The sequence below is a fragment of the Homo sapiens genome, chromosome 11 (genome assembly GCF_000001405.40).
Source record: "Homo sapiens chromosome 11, GRCh38.p14 Primary Assembly".
In the NCBI taxonomy this organism is placed as follows: domain Eukaryota; kingdom Metazoa; phylum Chordata; class Mammalia; order Primates; family Hominidae; genus Homo; species Homo sapiens.
This window is the reverse complement of record NC_000011.10, coordinates 69054024-69077151: the sequence shown is the minus strand read 5'-3', so window position 1 is coordinate 69077151 and position 23128 is coordinate 69054024. Positions and strand designations below refer to the sequence as shown.

At 59.7% G+C, this 23128-nt stretch overlaps 1 protein-coding gene across 1 annotated transcript in view, besides 4 other annotated features; it reads right to left on the bottom strand.

The window, feature by feature from the left end:
- TPCN2 (two pore segment channel 2) overlaps positions 1-23128 on the bottom strand; it is a 41666-nt gene that overhangs the window by 13446 nt on the left and 5092 nt on the right. Inside the window, exons 2-13 of the mRNA NM_139075.4 lie at positions 23055-23119; positions 22355-22431; positions 21800-21977; positions 19458-19574; positions 14162-14268; positions 13185-13257; positions 9547-9649; positions 6657-6722; positions 5732-5796; positions 5129-5229; positions 4444-4525; positions 4151-4237 (exon numbers count right to left, since the gene is read on the bottom strand). Of these exons, the coding sequence (NP_620714.2) occupies positions 4151-4237; positions 4444-4525; positions 5129-5229; positions 5732-5796; positions 6657-6722; positions 9547-9649; positions 13185-13257; positions 14162-14268; positions 19458-19574; positions 21800-21977; positions 22355-22431; positions 23055-23119 (1121 nt within the window). The remainder of the gene's footprint in view (positions 1-4150; positions 4238-4443; positions 4526-5128; positions 5230-5731; positions 5797-6656; positions 6723-9546; positions 9650-13184; positions 13258-14161; positions 14269-19457; positions 19575-21799; positions 21978-22354; positions 22432-23054; positions 23120-23128) is intronic.
- Positions 10455-11207: an enhancer, noted in NCBI's record as "H3K4me1 hESC enhancer chr11:68833413-68834165 (GRCh37/hg19 assembly coordinates)". NCBI's record gives its function as "activates a minimal SCP1, AML or CMV promoter by ChIP-STARR-seq in primed H9 embryonic stem cells {active_cell/tissue: H9 hESC(primed)}" and the evidence as "EXISTENCE:reporter gene assay evidence [ECO:0000049][PMID:30033119]".
- Positions 20827-21086: an enhancer, noted in NCBI's record as "active region_5152". NCBI's record gives its function as "activates an Ori minimal core promoter by ATAC-STARR-seq in GM12878 lymphoblastoid cells {active_cell/tissue: GM12878}" and the evidence as "EXISTENCE:reporter gene assay evidence [ECO:0000049][PMID:35858748]".
- Positions 21237-21296: an enhancer, noted in NCBI's record as "active region_5151". NCBI's record gives its function as "activates an Ori minimal core promoter by ATAC-STARR-seq in GM12878 lymphoblastoid cells {active_cell/tissue: GM12878}" and the evidence as "EXISTENCE:reporter gene assay evidence [ECO:0000049][PMID:35858748]".
- Positions 22714-22843: an enhancer, noted in NCBI's record as "active region_5150". NCBI's record gives its function as "activates an Ori minimal core promoter by ATAC-STARR-seq in GM12878 lymphoblastoid cells {active_cell/tissue: GM12878}" and the evidence as "EXISTENCE:reporter gene assay evidence [ECO:0000049][PMID:35858748]".

Genomic DNA, 23128 nt, shown 5'->3' with positions numbered 1-23128 from the left:
CGGCAGGAGGGCAGGTGGAGGGACATGGCAGGAGGGCAGGAGGGCAAGTGGAGGGACATGGCAGGAGGGCAGGAGGGCAAGTGGAGGGACATGGCACGAGGGCAGGTGGAGGGACATGGCAGGAGGGCAGGAGGGCAGGTGGAGGGACGTGGCAGGAGGGCAGGTGGAGGGACATGGCAGGAGGGCAGGTGGAGGGACACAGCAGGAGGGCAGGTGGAGGGGCATGGCAGGAGGGCAAGTGGAGGGACATGGCAGGAGGGCAGGAGGGCAAGTGGAGGGACATGGCATGAGGGCAGGAGGGCAAGTGGAGGGACATGGCACGAGGGCAGGAGGGCAGGTGGAGGGACATGGCAGGAGGGCAGGTGGAGGGACACGGCAGGAGGGCAGGTGGAGGGACACAGCAGGAGGGCAGGTGGAGGGACACAGCAGGAGGGCAGGTGGAGGGACACGGCAGGAGGGCAGGTGGAGGGACACGGCAGGAGGGCAGGTGGAGGGACACGGCAGGAGGGCAGGTGGAGGGACACCGCAGGAGGGCAGGTGGAGGGACACGGCAGGAGGGCAGGTGGAGGGACAGAGCAGGAGGGCAGGTGGAGGGACAGAGCAGGAGGGCAGGCCTCCCCTGCGGTTTCCGGATGCTACGGGGTGGATCGGAGTGTGGTGTTAAGCACATCTGGACACGCTCTGTCCGAGACACATAGTCCCCAGGGGACCTACAGCCACAGCCTGACCTCCTGAAAATTTCCCAGCTTCCCACAGTCCTCAATGTGGAAACCAGTGCCCAAAGGCCACCTGCCCACACTGGCACCGAATTCCCTCGGCAGGACCACGCCACTGCCTGCTCACAGCCTGGGCCTGCTGCACCCAGGAGGGTCGCCTCCTGCTTACCCAGTGACCACAAACCAACCGCAGCCCGGGGAAGCCAGTGAACGTCTCTGCATTCCTGTGGGCAAAACCACACCTGCTCTCAAGAGGTCTGAACCCCAGCTTCGGAGGGTCCCCTTCCAGGTCCATCCTTCCTCATGCACTCCCCTCAGCCCAAGGACACCACATGGTTTCCTTACATCTTGCAGTTACTCTTTTATCGTAGTTGCCACTGCCGTACATGACACTTTCTGTTTAACCCAGACGGACACCTTGGCCAAGAGAGATTTCAGCATTATCTATTACGTCTAAATTGTTACAAGGAGAAGGTGTTCATATGTTAGCTGTGTAACTGAGAGATAACTGATATGACTAAAGTGCTTGTCTCTGGGTAGAAAGCCCGTGAGGTGGATTTTCCCACTTCCCTCTGTTGTCTATAATGAATGACCACTACATTTTTAACCCCAAAAGCTTCTCATATGAAGAGGAGACTTCTTTCAGCAGCAGGCAGGGCACCTTCTCTGAAGCTCGCCAGCAAGCACCAACCGACTCCCTGGCCACGGCCAGGCTGACGCCCAGGCAGTGACCCCACACGGGAGGGCTCTCGAAAAGGCTGGAGCTCCCATGACGTCAGCCTGCCGAGAAAGGACCTCTTTGTGCTTCCAAAACCACAGGCTGCCCCAAATCTGAGCAATCCCAGAAGCATCTGCCTCCCAAACTGAAGCTCTGCCAGCCCTTCACGTCAGCGGGCTCTGCGTCCGCAGACTGAACCAACTGCAGATCAAAACATACTCAGGGAAAAAGCATCTGTACGGAGCATGTACAGGTTTTCTTACCCTTATTCCCCAAACTCCCACTGCATTCCTAGGTGCTAGGTATTCCAAGTAGTCTAGAAATGACTTAAAGTATACGGAAGGATGTGTGTAGGTTACATGCAAACACTACATCATCTTAAGAGACTTAAACATCCATGGATTTTGTATCCACATGGAGTCCTAGAACCAATCCCTGCAGATACCGAGGGGCAACGGCCTCCCCTCTACAGTCAGCATTATTGAGGAAAGAAGGAGTCAGAAAACCAGATTAAGGCTATTGTGGCTCCCAAAACCTGTGGAACCTAAACTCCCATCTCAAAGCCCAGTGCTCGGTGCCCTGGGAAGAGCATCGCCGGGACCTCCAGGGAGACCACCAGGCTGGGAATCAGGCCAGGCCTGCGTGTTGGGCCTTCCCCACTCCTGTGCGCACACAAGCCCGCTCTACTGGGTCACGGCCAAAGCAATCCATCCGCCCTTCCTCCACATCATCACGGGAGGAGGAACCCCTTTCCAGGTCTCACCAAATCCTGACACTGGAAAAGGGTGGGAGAGTCAGCTCTGGACAACCAGGACTCAACCACGCCCTAGGGAACGGCAACAACTGCCCAGGGAGAGCCCAGATGGCCCAGAACACACCAGGAGCAAAGCCTGAGGAACAAAAACCACCTTTCCAGAACCTTTAGGATGACTGGCTTCTCCCAGCCTGTGTCTGCCTGCCCCTTTAGTCATATCAGTTATCTCTCAGTTACACAGCTAACATACGAACACCTTCTCCTTGTAACAATTTAGACATAATAGATAATGCTGAAATCTCTCTTGGCCAAGGTGTCCGTCTGGGTTAAACATGGGCCGGATCACAGCAAACCTAGCCTACGACAGCCGCTAAGAGCTGCTTCCTGAGCCCCAAACAGCTCCGCCCCTAGGACAAGCGCCTTTATCTAGAATGGTGCTTCTTAACTTTCTGTTATCTGAGGACCATCTCCACAGTTTCTGTGAAATCTGCACCTGGTAAAATTTATTTCGTATCTTCAAGTCAACCTTAAGTTGATAACGCATTGCCCAGCCTTGTCCCAAACAGAGGTTTGATGGCGTGAATATTCAAACTGCCACCTACTGATCCTCACCACACTCATCGCCCATATGCCCCAAGGGGCTGGGGGTGCCACAATGAGGAATGCAGCCCTAAAGAGGATGCCCGAAGTGAGGATGGGGACGAGTGCGTGGCACTCAAGCTCAGGCTGGGGCAGGGCCTGACTACAGAGGTCTGGAAGGACCTTAGGAAAACAATGTTTTTTAGAGAACCACCTCTGACAGGGTCCTGCAGCCACAGGGGCCGACAAGGAATCCTGAAGCAGCTGACAGTTGCTATGGGTTGAATTTTGTCTCCCTCGAAATTCGTATCTTTAACCTCTAACCCCCAGTAGCTCAGAATGTGACTATATTTGGAGACAGGGCCTTTTAAAAGGTAATTTAGTTAAAACAAGGCCATTAGAATGGGCCCTAATCCAATCTGAATAGGGTCCTTATAAGAGGAGGAGATGACACACAGAGGGATGACCACGTGAGGATACAGGGAGAAGGCGATGTCTACAGCCATGGAGAGAGGCCTCAGGTGAGGACACAGGGAGAGGCTGGCATCTACAAGCCACGGAGAGAGGCCTCAGGTGAGGACACAGGGAGAGGCTGGCATCTACAGGCCACGGAGAGAGGCCTCAGGTGAGGACATGGGGAAAGAACAGCACCTACAAGCCACTGAGAGGGGCCTCAGGAGGAACCAGCCCTGTGACACTTGGCCTTGGACTGACGGCCAGGACTGTGAGATAACAAATGTCTGCTGCTTCAGCCCTGCCCCCGCCCCAGTCTGTGGTGCCGTCCCAGGAGCCTGAGCAAACGAGAAAAGTGACACAGAACTGGCAGGCGTCTGCCACCCCACCTCTCTGCCCCATCCCTGTTCCAGGGTCTGGCTCAGTCCTCTGAGGCTGAGCAGCTGGAATGGCAGCCCCCGTGCTGCCCCCACACTGCCTGTGAGCACCTGGGCTGTTTCCCACTGTCTCCACCCACCTGGCCCAGGCCTTCTGGACACAGAGCTTAGTCGGATGCTGAGGCCCACCTGGGAACTTTGTAAGTGTCAAGGGTGAAAGGCAAAGGCCTTGGAGAGGACCAGTGTGTGGACCTCCTGAGGAAGGACAGACAGGAAAAGGAGAGTCTGTCATGGAAACCGAGAAGACCATTTGGAAGACTCCTTCATGTCGGGCTGGGCTCAGGCTAGTTCCTGGGGTCTGGTGAATTTCATAAAAATCTCCCCAGTCTCCAAGAGCCAAAGAGAACTCCATTCCCAGTTCCCATACTAGGAGCCAGGATCCCTGGCAGGTGAATCCCAGCACTGATCATTAGAAGAGTTCCCCAGGTGATCAAGGGCAGGGGAAACTGGAAGGCCCCCACTATCCACCCTGGGCGGCTGTGGCCCCAGTTACCTCTTTAACCACACTTCTGTCAAGCTCGTTGAAGAGCTTCTGAAACTCCTCAGCTGAGAGCAGAACACTGCCATAGGAACGCACCTTCTGCACAGGAAGGAGCACAGGTCAGCAGGGGCGCACGGGAAGGTGAGCGCCCTCGAAGGTGAGCGCCCCCAGCCCCAACCCCACCCTGACGGGCTGTGAATGCTGCAGGTGACCTGAAGCCACACCCCTAGTCCTGAAAAGGGGCTGCTGGCCCAAGTGACCTCCCGGGAGGAGCCCAGAGGAGGCTGGGAGCAGGGGGCGGGTACCTCCATCATGGCCTGTTTGTGGGAGCTGTCCAGCTGGACCTTCTGAAGCACCTGCAGCAAGTTCTGGGGCTTCACCCCAACTCTGCAGGGAAAAACCCACAGCCCGGTGAGCACAGCCAGCTCGGCTCCCTTGGAACCCTGGCCTGGGTCCTCCTGCCCTGGCGTCTGGCTTGAGCTTTGCCATGAAGCCACTTTGCAGCTTGAGCCACACCAAGAGCCCCTGTAACGAGCATCCTGCCACTGCCGTCCCCCCGAGAAGGCGCAAACTGACTTCACCACTATGAGCAGTCAGGACCAGAACTTTCCACTGCAATGTCCCTCAAGCTCTCTGCCCTCATTTCCAAGCAGGATGGTGGTGTGGACACCTGGCCCACGCACCTCTGGCTCTGCTGCCTAAGTCAGCACAGAAGGGTAGAAGAGCACAAAGGGGGACAAGAAGGCCGGGCCACTCGGCCCTTCACCAGCCCAGGGTCCCCGGGGGGCACGAAGACAAAGGCATGGACTCAGGACAAGGACGCCGGGAACCACAGAGCGCCAGGGACATGGTGGTTTCCATGAGTCGGGTGCCAGCCAGCAGGGGCGAGGCACAGGCCAAGCACAAGAAGCCCCTAATGAACACCCGGCCCCTGCCCAGCAGCCACAGCACCCACCCTCAGGGAGAAGAGGGTCCATGCCCAGCACTCACGCCTGAGGGAAGGCTCCTCCCTCCCCCACCATGGAGGATAGGACTTCAAAGGCAGCCCGGGTTCCCAGCCGCCTCCGAAACAGCGAGGTCTGGAGAGATTTCTGCAAAGAGGAAGGCTATGAACGGCAGGATCAGCCCTCCCCCAGCTCAGAACCCCCGACCCTTCCCTCCCCTGGGGAACAGGCAGAGGGGGAGTCTGGGCAGCCTTGGGGGGGGGCCCAGTTCCCCACAGCCTGGGGGCAGCCCCTCACCCCCCAGGAATGAGAGGATTGGTCAGACTCCCGGGACAGGCCGCACAGGAAGGAGTCTGACGGGCGTGCTGCGCAATATGCTGGGCCGCGTTTCTCCTCTGTGTGTTGGGGGCGCCCCCAGCTCCCCCTCAAGAGGGTTTAGGGTCTGCTGTCCTGGGAGTTGCCATCTCTGGCAGTGGCTAGAGCAACAACACATGTGCATCCCCGGCTGATCCACAAGAGGTGGCAACCCTGCCCTCCCGTCCCACCAGGGGCCTGGCCAGCAAGGGTCACCCAGCTGCTCATCTCAAGCCACACCCTGCTTGGCCTCCCGGCAGCTCCAGGCACAGCCAGCATTGGGGAGCTCGCTCACCATCAGGTAGCCCCGGAACTGACTGTAGATGATGGCTGTCAGCAGGTTCATCAGAAACAGGCTTCCTTCAAGAGGAGACAGCCACGGTCAGGGGCGCCACCAGTACAGCAGCAAAACCAACGCAAGGGTGGCCGGCACAGGATAGCACAGCGCCGGGGGCGTCCCCTATCAAATGGAAACATGGCCTGGCCAGCGCAGTCACAGGTGGGAGGATGACGAGGTCAATGGTGGGGACAGAACAGAAAGTGTGGGGTGGGGGATCCCTGGGGTGAAGCTGTTGGTGGGGGATCCCTGGGGTGAAGCTGTTGGTGGGGGATCCCTGGGGTGAAGCCGTGGCATGGGGGATCCCTGGGGTGAAGCTGTTGGTGGGGGATCCCTGGGGTGAAGCTGTTGGTGGGGGATCCCCGGGGTGAAGCTGTTGGTGGGGGATCCCTGGGGTGAACCTGTTGGCGGGGGATCCCTGGGGTGAAGCCGTGGGGTGGGGGATCCCTGGGGTGAAGCTGTTGGTGAGGGATCCCTGGGGTGAAGCTGTTGGTGGGGGATCCCTGGGGTGAAGCTGTTGGTGAGGGATCCCTGGGGTGAAGCTGCTGGTGGGAGATCCCTGGGGTGAAGCTGTTGGTGGGGGATCCCTCGGGTGAAGCTGTTGGTGGGGGATCTCTGGGGTGAAGCTGTTGGTGGGGGATCCCTGGGGTGAACCTGTTGGCGGGAGATCCCTGGGGTGAAGCCGTGGGGTGGGGGATCCCTCGGGTGAAGCTGTTGGTGGGGGATCTCTGGGGTTAAAAGCTGTTGGCAGGGGATCCCTGGGGTGATCTCTGGAGTGAAAAACACGGATGTGAAGTTTCAGGTCGTGGAGGCAGCAGGGTGTATCGGTCCCTGAGCTCTCGGGATCCTGTCACAAAATGCTGGCCACGTTACCTGCACTCACCTATCACAGTGAAGACTATGAAGAAGATGGCATAGGCCCGGTTCTTGGAATACGCAGGAATCATCACTAAAAGAAAAAAGAAATAACAGAAACTGACAACCTCAGTACCTGATCCCACTCCCATCCTGACGCTACACTATTTGCTTTTGCAATAGAAAGGAGGTCTCCATTGCTGAGCGTGGTGGCTCACGCCTGTAATCCCAGCACTTTGGGAGGCTGAGGCGGGTGGATCACTTGAGGTCAGGAATTCCGAGACCAGCCTGGCCAACATAGTAAAACTCCATCTCTACTAAAAATACAAAAATTAGCCAGGTGTGGTGGCTCATGCCTGTAAACCCAGCTACTCGGGAGGCTGAGGCAGGAGAATCACTTGAACCTGGGAGGTGGAGGTTGCAGTGAACCGAGACTGCACCACTGCACTCCAGTCTGGGTGACAGAGCATGGCACCATCTCAAACAAAAAAAAAAAAGAAAGAAAGAAAAAAAGAAAGAAAAGGAAAAAAAAGAAAGGAGGTCTCCTGGGAGGGCTGAAAGGCCTTCCTGTCCAAATTCGATCTCTTGCCTCTGCTCGCACACCCTCCAGGACGGGGAACTCCCTACCTATCAAGGATGTCCCTCTGCACACAGAGCTGAAACCTCCCTGCAGCCCTCCCCACAGTCAGTCCTGCTCCCCCTGCAGTCACTTCCTAGGACTCAGACGGTCCTGCTCCCAGTGCGGTCACTTCCTAGGACTCAGACGGTCCTGCTCCCAGTGCGGTCACTTCCTAGGACTCAGACGGTCCTGCTCCCAGTGCGGTCACTTCCTAGGACTCAGACGGTCCTGCTCCCACTGCGGTCACTTCCTAGGACTCAGACGGTCCTGCTCCCACTGCGGTCACTTCCTAGGACTCAGACGGTCCTGCTCCCAGTGCGGTCACTTCCTAGGACTCAGACGGTCCTGCTCCCAGTGCGGTCACTTCCTAGGACTCAGACGGTCCTGCTCCCACTGCGGTAACTTCCTAGGACTCAGACGGTCCTGCTCCCAGTGCGGTCACTTCCTAGGACTCAGACGGTCCTGCTCCCACTGCGGTCACTTCCTAGGACTCAGACGGTCCTGCTCCCACTGCGGTCACTTCCTAGGACTCAGACGGCCCTGCTCCCACTGCGGTAACTTCCTAGGACTCAGATGGTCCTGCTCCCACTGCGGTCACTTCCTAGGACTCAGACGGTCCTGCTCCCAGTGCGGTCACTTCCTAGGACTCAGACGGTCCTGCTCCCACTGCGGTCACTTCCTAGGACTCAGACGGTCCTGCTCCCCCTGTGTCACTTGCTAGGACTCAGACAGTCCTGCTCCCACTGCGGTCACTTCCTAGGACTCAGACAGTCCTGCTCCCACTGCGGTCACTTCCTAGGACTCAGATAGTCCTGCTCCCCCTGTGGTCACTTCCTAGGACTCAGACAGTCCTGCTCCCACTGCGGTCACTTCCTAGGACTCAGACAGTCCTGCTCCCACTGCGGTCACTTCCTAGGACTCAGACAGTCCTGCTCCCAGTGCGGTAACTTCCTAGGACTCAGACGGTCCTGCTCCCAGTGCGGTCACTTCCTAGGACTCAGACGGTCCTGCTCCCAGTGCGGTCACTTCCTAGGACTCAGACGGTCCTGCTCCCAGTGCGGTCACTTCCTAGGACTCAGACGGTCCTGCTCCCACTGCGGTCACTTCCTAGGACTCAGACGGTCCTGCTCCCCCTGTGGTCACTTCCTAGGACTCAGACGGTCCTGCTCCCACTGCGGTCACTTCCTAGGACTCAGACGGTCCTGCTCCCACTGCGGTCACTTCCTAGGACTCAGACGGTCCTGTTCCCACTGCGGTCACTTCCTAGGACTCAGACGGTCCTGCTCCCACTGCGGTCACTTCCTAGGACTCAGACGGTCCTGCTCCCACTGCGGTCACTTCCTAGGACTCAGACGGTCCTGCTCCCAGTGCGGTCACTTCCTAGGACTCAGACGGTCCTGCTCCCACTGCGGTCACTTCCTAGGACTCAGACGGTCCTGCTCCCACTGCGGTCACTTCCTAGGACTCAGACGGTCCTGCTCCCAGTGCGGTCACTTCCTAGGACTCAGACGGTCCTGCTCCCACTGCGGTCACTTCCTAGGACTCAGACGGTCCTGCTCCCAGTGCGGTCACTTCCTAGGACTCAGACGGCCCTGCTCCCAGTGCGGTCACTTCCTAGGACTCAGACGGTCCTGCTCCCACTGCGGTCACTTCCTAGGACTCAGAGGACACAAGAGACAGCACTCAGGGTCCGCAAGATGAAAGGCACCAGCCAGGGTGGCTGGGCCACAGCCAAGCCCAGGACCGTGGCCTCCATCCTGGCCACACCTGCACCTGAGCAGTGGAGGCCCCATGAGCATCACACAGGGTGAGCGTCGTGGCCAGTAAGACCCTTGGCCCTCACATGCTGCTGCCCAGTGGCTCCCACAGCTGAACCTCGGCAGCAACCGCAGCGTGGATGTGTGGAGCTCCAGCAGGACGGCACCAGGAGACCCCTCTGACCACTGCCATCATCGCCCTATGAAGAACACCAGCCACTTTCAGCTTCTCAGAGGAGTGAGTAGACAAGGAGGAAGAGGAGATGAAAAGAAAAAGGGAGGAGGGAGTGAGAAAGCAAAGGAATGAGACAGAAAAGGAAAGAAGGAAAGAGAAGGGACAAGAGAGAGGGAGAAGAAAACCAAGACAAAAAAAGAAGAGATAGGAAAAGAAGGGGAGGAAGGAAAATGTCACCCTTTCTTCTCCACTTATCGAAAAAAAGGCCTCAGAAACTCCCACTGGGTTCTAAGGCTCAGCAGCCCAAACCGGCCCCCCAGTGCTGGGCTCACCGACCCCCACGGTCCCTCCCTGGCCCTGCACGCACCATCGGGGTTGTTGGCCGTGGTCAGCAGCACCAGGAGGGAAGTCAGAGACTCAGGCAGGTTCTGGAAGTAGGTCAGCCTCTCCCTGTCCTGCCCATCATCCTGCTAAGAGCAGAAGCGGCAGCTCCAGGGCACCACTGGGTCCCCACCCCACAGGCTGAGCTCCAGGCCCCGGACCCAACCGGCTGGAACCATCCACCCGCCGCCCAGCCTGCATCTCCCTGTGGCCTCCCAGCAGGCTGAGCTCATGGCCAGACAGGACCAAACTCAGGATCTCCGGGCGCAAGAGTGGGCACCCAGGGAGACCGCTCACCCGCATGGACACGGTGCCTGGAAGCAGGCCGGCTCAGAACCACAGCAAAAAGCCCTCAGCCAGCCTAGTGACCTCCCTCAGGCCACCTCGCCTGCTCGCAGCCGACTCTGCCATGCACTGTGCAAGCAGTGAGGCTACGGGGCAGAGGCAGGAGGGGCAGGAGGAGCAGAGGGGCCCAGGCTGCCAGGGTGAGATAGGTTGGACCCTTCGTGAAGCCTGCTCTAGAGGCTGTGTGTCAGGGCCCACGGCCGCCCATAGCCACCCACGGGACTCAGTGGCACTGTGCTCGTGGCTGTGGCGAATCACAGCCATTGGTAAGGGGGCATCCACACCGGAGTCCCTATCCTCTCTCCCTCCTGAGAGGGGTCCCAGCCACAAAACACAGCTGGCACATGCAGTGTTTCTGCTCGGAAAGCAACTCTGCTTGAGACTCCGGGCCCGGGGCTCTCACTGGGGCCAGGCTCATGGGCACCCTCTGCCTACCAAGCCTCCAGACCCCCCAGCTGGAAGATGGGTGGTTCCCGCAAACCAGACTGGTTGTATGAACTGTGGGGGCAGGTGGCACAGCGGGACTTGGCACACAAAGCAACCTCCTCTCTTAGGGATCGTTTCAAAGCCACAATCCCAGCTGCTGGCCAAGGGGCAACCCCGCAGGCAGGCCCTGGCATGGAGGCACCTGTGATGGCCACTCTCTGTCGCACAGGCCGCCCTTCCTGCCTCACAGCCGCATCAATAGCACTGAGGCCTCCAAGGCCTCACCTATAAAATGGCACTGTCCCCTCGTCTGTCCAGTCAGGGGCTCCCAAGGACACGTGAGCTAATTGGTGAAGACTCCACAGTCTGCTGGGGGAGGGGGCACAGGGGCCACTGAGAGGAAGTTAGAAGGCAGGGAGCGCTGTCAGGCACAGAGCCACGGGTAGGGACAGGCTCCCCTGCTGGGGAGAGCTAGGCGGGCCCCTCCTGGGCCTCAGCCCAAGCCAGAGTGGAGGAGCAGAGCAAGGCCTTCCGAGGCCTGGAGGGCAGGCTGGCCTCCAGCAGTCACCGGGGACGGCAGGACCACAGCACTGGGTCCAGGCCTCCCGGGCATCCCCCGTCCCACCCTCACCCAGTCAAACCACCACGTTCCCAAATGTAAAGCAACCCACCGAGCGCCCATGGAGCAAGGTTTAGGGCCAGGCTTCGAGCCAGCTGAGGCACACCACCTAACAGACGCTGAGGTCCATAGAGCCGACAGAACTCCCTAAGGCAGGTGGCCCTGCCCCGGCCCATCTCCCACCCCACACTGTGTACCTCCCAGCAGGCCTCACGCTCCTCCTCTACAATTCAGCTCCAGACCCTAGGCATGACTTCCCGTACCTCCTGCCCAGCCCAAGCCACAGCTCTGCAGGGACACAGAGGAGCCCTGGGCTCCTGCCCAACCTGCCACAACCAGCGACGATGGACCCGAGCCAGCCCACAGCCCCGACCTGAGAAACATCTGTAAAATGGGACAGCACCATCACGGCTGCTGGGAGACCACACACCCCAACACCAACCCTGGTTCTTGGAAATCAATCCAGGTTGGAGCTTCACAACGAGCAAAGCCAGCAGAGGACAAGCAGGCTGGCTCTGGACCGCACTCACAAAGGTAGCTAAAGCAAGGCGGCCGCTGCACCCAGAAGCACAGCCTGGCTACCGCCCCAGGCCAGGGTGGCAGGGCATGATGGCCAGGGAAGGAAGGCAGGATGGGCCGGGTACCATCCCACGCTCCTCTCAAGTCCTGCCTCGGACAGGGATCCAGACTCCTGCCAAGACCACGACAAGCACGCACCCCTCACACAAGGTACACCTTGCTCCCCTAGGTCCCCTTCGTGGGGCAGAAACCCACGCCTGGAGGAGGAGCCAACCCTTCCAGGTGCCTCAGGATGGGACACTCGGCTTTCCCGGGGTCGAGGACCACACCCTGGCCTCAAGGCCGAGGCTGTTGCCACTTCCAGCACCCACACTGACGCCATCCACCTGGTACAGGCTCTGGCAAACAGCGCTACTGCAGGGGTCACTGGACGGTCACACAGAGGAGGGCCTGAGATTCTGTCAGCCGGTTCCATCTCCACAACCCAGCTGCCCCCACCACCCACAGACAGGCACACAAACACACACATACACACAGAGATACGCACACACATGCACACGCACACAGCCATACAGACACCACGCACGCAGAGACATACAGACACCATGCATGCACACATAGACACACCACACACACGACACCACACGCACACACAGACATACAGACACCATGCACACAGACACCACACACGCACACAGACATACAGACACCATGCACAGACACTACACATGCACACATACAAACACACACACAGACATACAGACACCATGCACACAGACACTACACATGCACACATACAAACACGCACACAGACATAAACACCATACACCTACACATACAAACAAACATGCACACAGACATGCAGACTCCACACACACATGCAGAGCCACACAGGGGCTCAATGACCGCTTCCGCCCTGGGTGAGAACGCGGGCTTCAGCCTTCCCCTTCTGGACAACACACACCAAACCCCAACACGGCCACAAACAGGAACAGCAGCGCAGGCTGAGCACTGTCCACTCCCACAACAAAGCAGCAGAGATGCAGCGTGGCCCCAGCCCCAAGAAGGATGGTGCCCTCGGCCAGGACAGGAGGACAAACACATAGCACTGGAGCGGGGTTGGGGGACAGGAAGACGCCTCCACACAGCAACGAGCTGCTGGGCCCCGGGGCAGCCGCAGAGGAGGATATGGTGGGAGAGACTAGTGGCAGGAGAGGGCGTGGGAGGTGAGGGCCCTCCCAGTAGGCCAGCGCAGCCTTGGGGGCTGCAGTCAGAGAGGGTACAGGGCAAGCCTGGTTGTCAGGAAGGATGAACAGGGCTGGAGGAGAAACCAGAGGACCCACCCTCAGTGAATAGCCTGGCGGGGAAGGGCGGGGAGGGGCGGGGGATAGGGAGGGGGGAGGGAAGTGGGAAGGAGGATAGGGGAACTGAGTCAGGATGGGAGGGAGCAGAGGAGGGTGGGAGCGGACAGCCAGGACAAAGGACAAGTGGCCCTGAGCCCAGGAGACCCCAGGGCAGACAGGTGTCTGGGCAGTGGGGTGGTGGAGCACTGTGGCCACCCAAAGGCAGACTCCTGGACCCCAGATGGGCCACTGCTATTACTGGACAGAGTCCGCACATGGGTTAGGCCAGGGCAGCAGACACCAGCCCAGCCCCCTCTGTTAGTCACAGCACAGGGCAGCCCCATTCCCAGACCCTGACCACGGGTGCCCTACCTTCCCACCAGCGAACAGCAGCATTCCGAACATGGTGAAGAGGCACAGGTGGATGGCCAGCAGCAGCCCGACGCTGGGGGAGAGCACGGCACTCAGCCTGGGCCAGGCGGCGGGCAGGCAGGGACACCTGACCTGCCTGCAGGGCTCGGTGACAGGAGCGCCCAAGAGTCTGCAGCAGCTGGGGTGGATCCAGGCAGCAGCTGGGTCCCCCTCTCCCCGAGGGCCTTGCCTCATGCTCAGCTCATGGGGCCCAGAGGAAAGGCCTGGTCGTGCCCTGGCAGGGTCCTTTCTTTGACAGTGACAAATGAAACCCTGGGGGCCCAGCTGAGACAGCATCCAAGGACCCAGGGCTCTCAGAGGGGAGGCCACTTCCATCCACCTGAGCTGGATGGTGAGGGGTCAGCACGTGAGCCACTAGGGACTCGGGCAACGCTGCCACTGGCAAGAGCGGAGGGCGGCAGGGGATCGGGACCAGGGGTGAGCCGAGGCTGGATGGAGGCTGGGCCTGGGGCGCAGGGAGAGAGCCCCACGCTTCTAGTGGCAACAAGAGCCACGAGGGCTTCCAAGCAGGGGTGTCGTCAGGAACAGCTCAGCTTTATGAAGTCTAGGCTGGCAGCGTGCCGACACCATGAGTGGGAGGGGACGGCAGAGGGGAGAGGCAGGGCACAGCCACAGAGGGGACAAGAGGAGACCCATCGGAGAGAGTGCCCATGGGACTCAGCAGCCTTCGAGCTGGGGCCGCGGTGTTTGCAGCCCTGGCCCTAGCTCGAAGGCTGCTGGGAGGCTTCTGGGGAACTGCTGGAACCAAAGAGACCCCAAAAGCCCCCCAGCAGCCTCCCCACACCGTCACCAGCCAGCCAGGGATGCGGAGCACGCAGTCCAAGATGAGACTCCGGTGGGCCCCACCCGCAACCACGTGGCCCGGGGCAGAGAGAGCCCCTTCCCAACCCTGCGAGCCCAGAGCACCAAGAGCCCACCTGGCCATTTCCGGCAGCGACCAGCGGATGCATTTCAAGGTCTTCTTCATCATAGAGGAGTTCTGCAGCAGGAAGAAGGGACGGAGAAGCCGGCGGATCCGCAGGGGCTGGAAGAGACCCAGGAAACTGAGGACCACGTCAAGTGCTTAGTTCTACCCCTCACCGACCATCCCAGATGGGCACACGGTTCAGAGACCCCAGTGCCCTGGGGGCCACTCCAGAGTCACTGAGCCCAAAGTGGAGGGCCTGGCTCCAGAGCTGGCCTTGAGACCTGTTCCAGGCCACATGCTCTGCAGTCCTTCCCTGTCACAGGCCTCCCCACTACCCATCTCCCAACTCCTGGGCGCTGCACACACAGGTTCCCCAATCCTAACACCTGTCCCTGTCCCAGGCCATCCTCCCCTGTGCCCACCCAGGACACAGCTGGAAGGGTGGTGGCCCCATGCCTCCCTTGGTACCCTCCTGCCTTGCCCAGCACACCTGGCTTCTCAGGGTACCATCCCCGCCTCCTCACCCCTCAACCCGCCTCCCCTTGTGTCCCCATCTCCAAGCCTTCCCCTCCCAGACACAGACCCTGCCTCCAGGAGCCCCACCTCCACACCCCCACACTCACACAGCGCCCTCCAGCCTCACTGCTCCCACGCTCAACACTCACACGGTGTGAATGTGCGTCCCCTCCAAATCTCACGTTGAATCTGACTCCCCGTGTTGGAAGCGGGATCTAGCAGGAGGGGTTTGGGTCGTGGGGTGGATCCCTCATGAATAGCCTGGTACCCTCCCTGCAGCAATGACTTCAGGTGAGGGGTTCACGAGAGATCTGGTTTTTAAAAGGAGTCTGGGGGCCTCTCTCGCCATGTGACACACCTGCTCCCCGTCTCCTTCTGCCATGAGTGGATGCTTCCTGAGGCCTCATCAGAAGCAGACGCCAGCACCATGCTTCCCATGCAGCCTACAGAGCCGTGAGCCAAATAAACCCCTTCTCTATTAATACCCAGCCTCAGGTCTTGCTTTATGGACACGCAAAACAGACTCACACACACACTCACACTCACACACACACACTCTCACAGATATCCCCATCTTCCCTGCCTTCCTTCTGTGAGGACAGAAGGGCCCACCCACGGCCACCACACCACCCACAGTCCTGTCAACCCACCCCAGCCCTCTCAGGATTGGCTCAATCACCACCTTCTGCCCCAACCATCACACACCAGTGTTCTCACAGCTTCCATCATGCCACGTTTCCCTGCCCTCCCCTCCATTCACTCCCCTGCTCCTATCCCAGCCCATCCTCCCCTCCTGGCCACTGGGACCCACCTGGGGGTCCCCATGAGCACCTTCCCATCCTGCCTGGCGCCCTCAGCACCAGACACAGCTACCTTGGTGCTCCCAGCTGCCCTGTAGGTCCCCGCACTGCCCGATCCGCCTGTGCTGGGCACCCTGCCCCCACCTCCTCTCTCTGCCTCACACCTGGATTCAGTCCCTTGAGTATCTCGTTTACACTTTGGCGCCTGTCAATCTCAAATCCACGCTCTCCACTGCAGTCTCGCATCCTCATCAGTATCTTGTTTTAGAAACGCAGAGCTGTCAGCTCCTTGCACAAAACCAAAACCCTCCGACAACTGCCCACAGCTCTGCCCATGGCCTCCGGGGTCCACGGAACAGGCCCAGCCAGTCAGTCCAGCCCCTTCCCAGACCTCACAGGCCACGGCCCTCAAGCTGCCAGTGTCTGCCCAGCCGGCCGGCTCAGCCCCCGCAACCTGCAGAACGCCACCTCTGCCAGGGCTGCCGGGCTCCTCTCCGGCATGGCACCCACCACCACACTTGGGAATCACACTCTATGTCTGGCACTTCTGTGCGCTGGCAGTCTCTCTCTCACTCCAGAAGGGGGTCTCAGAGGACAAGAGACCTGCCTATTCTGTTCACCAAGGTCCAGCCAGCAGCAGCACGGCAGGCCCTCCAGAACATCTGCAAGTGACTGATCCCCAGCGCTCACTCCAAGTGAATCACCATTCTCAAAAGGGACCCCAGGGCCTGGCGCAGGACTGAGAAGGCCAAGAGAACAGTGGTGAACAGAGAACTGCTCAGGGCTCTGGCCCCTGCCCTGTGCGCCCAGCTCACCCGGAACCCATTCATTGCCCACTGGTTGGAAACTCTGGTCTTAGGGCCTGATAACAAAGGCTTCTTTCAGCCCCTCTACAGGCCAAGGAGGTGCTGAAGATGCTGCTGGGTCCCCTCCCCTGCCCAGGAACTTGCACCCTCACCTGTAGTCAGACACAGACCACAGCACAGCTTCCCCAGACACAAGAGCCCAACCTGAGGGCCTTCCCTTGACAGCTGGGGCCATGAGGCCTCTATAAGGACGGGAAGGTACATCCAGGTGACTAGCCTCCAAGGACAACCAACCACAATGCCAGTCAAGCCCCTGGGACCCTCAGACCCAAGGCCTTGAGGAAAAACCACGTCCAAACAGCCCTGGCAAAGACAAGAGTGAACGAGCAAAACCCAACAGTGACCGGCAGCCTCCATATTATCCAACCCACTCGGCCACAAGGCTGGAGGGCACCCAGTCCTCCCTGCAAGCCACCCCATGCCTGTAGGAGTTCTTTATGACTGGACAGCTGGCCACAGAGGAAAACCTCAGGCCTGGTTTGCAGACGTGCTGAATGATAGCCGGCCCAGCCGGAAACACACACACGCACATTTCAGCCTCCATCAAGAAAGCGCTGCACGGATGCTGCAGAAGGGAAAGCTCTGCAGTGGGCAGGGTTGGGCAGTCCCCTGTGTGGACTGAGAAAGGGGATGTTCCCAAGTGGAGGACAGGGGCGTGGAGAGAGAAGAGTGGAAGACTGGGCACGAGGTCTGGGAGGAAGTATGTGGACCAGCTGCTCTGAACGAGCTTTTCTGCAGGGCACGTGGCCTAAGGAGCTGGTGCCCCATGTGAACGCCCACCATGGGCATCGTGGAGAGGAGGCTCTCTGGCCAGGACCAGGCATCCTGTGGATGCAGCTAGGCCTCTTCCCTCAGCCACCCTGCTCCTAACTCCCTCCACCACACACAAAGCAACCACCACGACAGACACGGAGGCTATGCCTGGTGCCAATAGCACAACCACTCAGCCAGAGGCAGGGCCAGGTACCAGCCCGAGACAGCCCCCTGACAACAGAGGGGCCCTTGCCCACAACCATCGCTCATCTGTCCTCCCTGGACAGACAGGCATGCAGGTTATGAATCTGCCTGCCCTGCCTCCAACGCCTCTCCCAGCACCATCCCAGGACCTGGGAATGAACTGTGGGGCACTGTGTCCCACTCACAGCCCTGCAAATGCTGCTTCAGGTGAAAGAGCTGGGGCAGCCCCGGCGCGGGCCCACAGTAGCTGGCTGTAGGAAGGGTCCCAGAGCCTTAGGAAGACTCAGCAACGCTGTCAGCTTAGGGTCACAGGGCACAGCACAGGCTCTGAACCAGAGGCCACTTGGCGGGGCTGTCTCTCCCCCAGCCAGGACCCACTGGGACCCAGGCAAGGGCAATGGGAGTGAACATGGTGAAGAGGCACAGGTGGATGGCCAGCTTTCCACTTCCCACCTCCCCCATTCTGGGTCCCCGCTCTGGAAATATCCACTCCCAAGGTGGGGATGCTTCCACCGGGACACACGCTGGACCATAGCTTGTTCATGGAAAGAGGGCTGCTGTGCCAGCAGGGTGAGCGGGCAGGCTGGCTGCTGCCACTGAGAACAGCAGGGAGGGCTGGGTGGGGGTCCTCTGGGCCACCTCTTACTCCTATGTCCCATAGGAAAAGTTAGCAGAAAACTCCAGCCTTCCAAAGGCAGGACCACCAAGGACTCGGGCCCCTCAGGGAGGAAGGTCCAGTCCCTGTGCCAGGTGAAAAACCCGGGCCAGGTGGGGAGCTGGCGGAGGCGAAGGGAGCGCGGAGCAGGTGGCAGAAGAGATCCAGGCAGGGCCCACGGCCAGGTATAAAACCAGGCCTTTATTCATTTTCTTCCTTGCTTGTAACGTAGACCTGTGTCTCTTTTTCCTGTCTCCTTCCCCATCCTAATTTCATATAAGGATTCTTGGTGTGGCTTACAATTTAGCCTGTAAGTTACAGAACATGATACAGCTGCCACAACCGTAACTCAGAAATGGCGGTGGGAGGGCTATCCTCGCTCCCTTTGCTGGGGCAGTCACGCAAGAGGCTCTCCCTTTGCAGGGAGGAGGCTGCGGGAAGCTGCCGAGTCAGGGAGACAGGAAGGAGGTGGCCACGGAGGCCCCGCAGCAGCACAGCGGGGCTGCCCTCCAGCCACCCTTCCGCTCTGCCGTGCTGTGGGCTGCGATGCCGCCCATTCCAGCTCTCCTCAGCAGCTACTCCCCACCAGGTCCTGCCAGCAGGGCCCTGGGGCAGGCGGGGACAGGAGATGCACTCACTAGGCTGTTCCTATCAGCTGCACCTGGAGCTTCCAGCCCCCACATCGGCACTGCTGGGACCAACCTCATTGAGCTTCTGGGAGGCACCAGCGCCCACCAGACAGCACCCCCTCCCAGAGGACAGAGGGCAAGAACCCAGCTCTATGGGCCCCTCCCTTGGGCCTCCAGGTGCTAACAACCCCCATCTCTCCCCCGTCCCCTGCCCATGAGTGGGACTGCTCCCGGTGGTTCTGGGTTCCACTGGGCTCCTTTCACTGTTGGTTTCTCGGAGCCTGTTTAAGGCCCTCTGTTCATTCTCTCCACAAGGCACCTGTGGGGCTCTGCTTCCCGACAGACCCCAGTGGATTCTGCTGACTCCGCACCCACCTCTCCCAGCTCTATTCTCGCAAAGCCCAGGGGGTGCTTCTGGGTGCTCTGAGGGGAAACCAAGGCACTGCGGTGGAAAGGGCTGAGTGTGGCCGGGTGAGGGGGCTTTCTCACTGTCAGACCTCACAGAGCTTGGGGCTTGTGACTACGGGGCATGGTGAGGCCCTGGTGTGGCGCTCTCATCCGGGGCTGGACGGCCGAGGCCTTCAGCTAGAGAGCGGAGAGCCGGGAGGCAGAAGTCTTGGAGCTCACTCCCAGGTCCGCCCTCAAAAACAGGGCGAGCCAGGAGGAACCCTGTGCCCGTCCAGGCCTCCATGTCTTCATCTGTGAGACAGGAACAAGGATCCCCAGCCAACAAGTGAAGGAAGTGCCATGGGAGGTGGGCAGTGCTGGGCGGGTGGGCAGGATGGCTGGCGGGCTCAGGGCTCCATCCCAGCACCCCCGTGGGCCTTGCACCCACACCAGCCCCAGATCTCTCCATCTGTCTCAGGGCTGCCTCACCACCTACCTCATGACACACGAGACTCAGGGACACGGTCCAGTCCACCAGAGACACCACCAGCACCACGAGGTAGCCCAGCAGCCAAAGGTTTTTCTGGAAATGGGCCCACCCGAACAGGTAACCCTGCAAGATAGACGGGCGGGTGAGCAGCAAGTAGCCCCACACGCTGGCCCTGCAGCCAGAGAATGACGGTGCGCAGCGCAGGGACCAGGCGACCAGAGCAGGGTGCGCCTCCACAACAGTGTGGTCCCCACGGGACGCAGAGCAGCAGTCAGGAGGCCCGAGCTCCCGCCCAAGCCTGCTAGGGACTCGCTGTGCAGTCTCAGGCAGCACCAAAGCTCTCTGGCCTGGGGTCCTCATCAGTAATGGGAGGCTCCTGCCTGTTCTGCCTATCTAACAACCACCTTGTGCAGGCTGAGAAGACATGGAATGCACTCTGGAAAAGGCTAGAAAAATACCAGCTCAGTGGGCAGGTCTCCGCCGCCACAGCAAGGCAGCTTGGGAAGTGAGGTCTGGTCTGTTCTTCCCTTACCTAACTGCCATTTCCCACCATCAAGAAAGTCCCCAGAAGGCGGTGGCTCACGCCTGTAATCCCAGCACTTTGGGAGGCCGAGGTGGGCGGATCACTCAAGGTCGGGAGTTTGAGACCAGCCTTGCCAACATGGTGAAACCCTGTCTCCACCAAAAATAGAAAAATTAGCCGGGCATGGTGGCAGGCACCTGTAATCCCAGCTACTTGGGAGGCTGAGGCAGGAGAATCACTTGAACCCAGGAGGCGAAGGTTGCAGTGAGCTGAGATCATGCCACAGCACCCTAGCCTGGGCGACAGAGCTAGACTCTGTCTCAAAAATAAATAAATAAATAAAAGACGGCCGGGCACAGTGGCTCACACCTGTAATCCCAGCACTTTGGGAGGCCGAGGCGGGCAGATCACAAGGTCAGGAGATCGAGACCATACTGGCTAACATGGTGAAACCCGTCTCTACTAAAAATACAAAAAATTAGCCAGGCGTGGTGGCACGCGCCTGTATTCCAACTGCTGGGGAGGCTGAGGCAGGAGAATCACCTAAACCCAGGAGGCGGAGGTTGCAGTGAGCCAAGACTGCACCACTGCACTCCAGCCTGGGCAACAGAGCGAGACTGTGTCTCAAAATAAATAAATAAAATAAAATAAAAGACAGCCCCCAGAGGTCACAGCTTGCTGATGTACCCTCTCTCACCTTTTGACACTTCTCAAACACACCAACCATTCAAAAAACGCTAATGACAACCTCTTGCCAGTTTCAGTTCCAGTTGAAAAACCCCCAGACCTGCTAACCACATGATAAGCTACAAAGGAAGAAATGAGAAACTGCCCGGGGCCTGCAATCACACACACCAGCATCCAGCCACAACCCTCGGTCGGCACACAGCCCGCCCTGCCCACAAGGGACTACAGGGCAGTGCCGGGCAGAGGCCCCACGCGACCAGGAAGCCACGTGAGCCCAAGGCCCAGCCAAGGAGCGGCAGGGCTGGCGCTGAGGAGGGCTGCAGCCAGGGCCTGATCTAACACCATGGGCATGGATGTGGGGGCCCCTGAGACCGCAGCACTGGAATCACTGTTTGACAAAAATAGAAAACGTAGCCTGCACCTCCCTGGAAAGGCACTAAGTCTCTGACGAGGCTCAGAAGCTTAGGTGAGCACCAAAGGCCCACCTCCAGCTTGTGGGAGGACGTGCGTCACAGGCAGAACCCAGAGTCAAACATGCAGCAGCTGCTGTGTGCATAAGAAACCCCTTTCTGCCCCACGCCCACCTCCTCTCCTCTTCTCTTTGGGGTGGCAGGGTGAGCCTTGAGGAGGGACCACCTGGGCCTCACTTATTCACTTGGGACCTCTCCTCACAGCAGCACTGCAGACACTGGACTGTTCCCAGAGGCCCTGTCAGCCTGCGCAACCCCTGACGGCCCACTGGGCTCAGTCTGCATGGTGGAGAGGGAGGAGAGCTGACGGCACACTGGGCTCAGTTTGCATGGTGGAGAGGGAGGAGAGCTGACGGCACACTGGCCTCAGTTTGCATGGTGGAGAGGGAGGAGAGCTGACGGCACACTGGCCTCAGTTTGCATGGTGGAGAGGGAGGAGAGCTGACGGCACACTGGCCTCAGTTTGCATGGTGGAGAGGGAGGAGAGCTGACATAGCCTCTGCCTCAGGCACTTGCTTGTCCAAGAAAGTGTGCCTTGCTCACCGGGTCAAAGTACAAAGTCTGGGGAAAAGGCAGCTCACTCCAGAGAATCAGCAATAAACCAGGAGAGCAGCGGCCAGGCGCTGGGAGGCCGGGGCAGCACGTAGAGGGCCTGGCGCCCGCCTCACCTTCACAGAGAGGTCGGCCGCAAAGACCAGCAGGCAGAGCACCTCGACACTCTCGGTCAGGCCGCAGGGCGGCTCCCAGGGAGCAGCGCGGTAGCGCACGTCCGCCGTGCTGGTGAGTGAGGATGGGGTCTCGATAAAAGCCAAAAACAGGATCAAGAAGATGGTGAAGCTCAAAGTCCTGGAAAGGGGACAGAAACATGAAAACACAGGAGCCAGCAGCCCTCAGGGCCCAGAGGCTGGTCAGGAGCTTCCCCAGTCCGAAGCACGGGAGTTGGCGCTGCCTGAGCGTGGACACTCGTGACTGGGGAGATCACGAATCTGCTCAAAGCTCCATTGCCGAGGGCTGACCACAGCATTCCAGAAAGGAACCCTTGTTGTAGAAGGAGCCTGCCATCACAGGCCGTCTCCTTTCCAGAGAGGATGATGGTAACCGCCCTATCTATGTAGTGGGGAGCCTGCCTGGACCCTGAGACCAGGTGATCCCCAGGTGGGGGCCAGCCTCCCCTGCCACGCAAGCCGGCAGGAACCCTGAGTTCCACATGGGTGCGTTCTCACCGTTGGCATACGTTCGAGTAATACCGTCGGTAAAGCCACATCGAGCTGGCATCCACCCGGTGGTTGATGGAGCGGTACTACAAGCGAAAAGTCACATGAGGCATGACATGGGTGCATGCAGGGTGGGCCGTGACCCGAGCCCCACACCACACACGAGACAGGCCCAAGTCTCAGGCTGTGGATCACAGGGGACGCTTCAGCGTGTGGACATGGCCAGCCCTGACCCATCAGGCCCACACCATCACAAACCACGAGGTTTGCCCAACACACAAGACCTCACAGGCCACACACCCGGGGTGGGTGGGTGCGTGAGCAAACACTCAGGGAACACTTGCTGAGAGCACAGCTGTGCCCGTGTCTGCCTGCGAGGCTCTCTCTTCTCTGTGCAAGGCTGACCCTCCCACGCCCCGTGCAGCTGTGTCATCCTCCAGGATGCCCCCACCCACCCGGGACCTAGAATGGGGTGGTCCACAACAGGCCTCAGAACACGGTGCATCAAAGCAGCAAATGCGTCCAGGATGCAGAAGACAAGTCCTCCGGGGACTGACGAAGAGCCGTGCCCAGAGGCTCCACCCTCAGTTCTCTTAACCTACAGTCCAGCAATGGAGGCCTTGGACCCAGTCAGTCGCCCCTGGAGGGGCGAGCCAATCGGAGGGCGGCCACCCCCCAGGCCCGGCCACAGGGAGCAGGTGCCACCGACCTGAATAGCATCTTCGATGAAGACCACAGCCTGATCAATGCAGAGGTCCCACCTGGCCGCGGCACCTGCAGGCA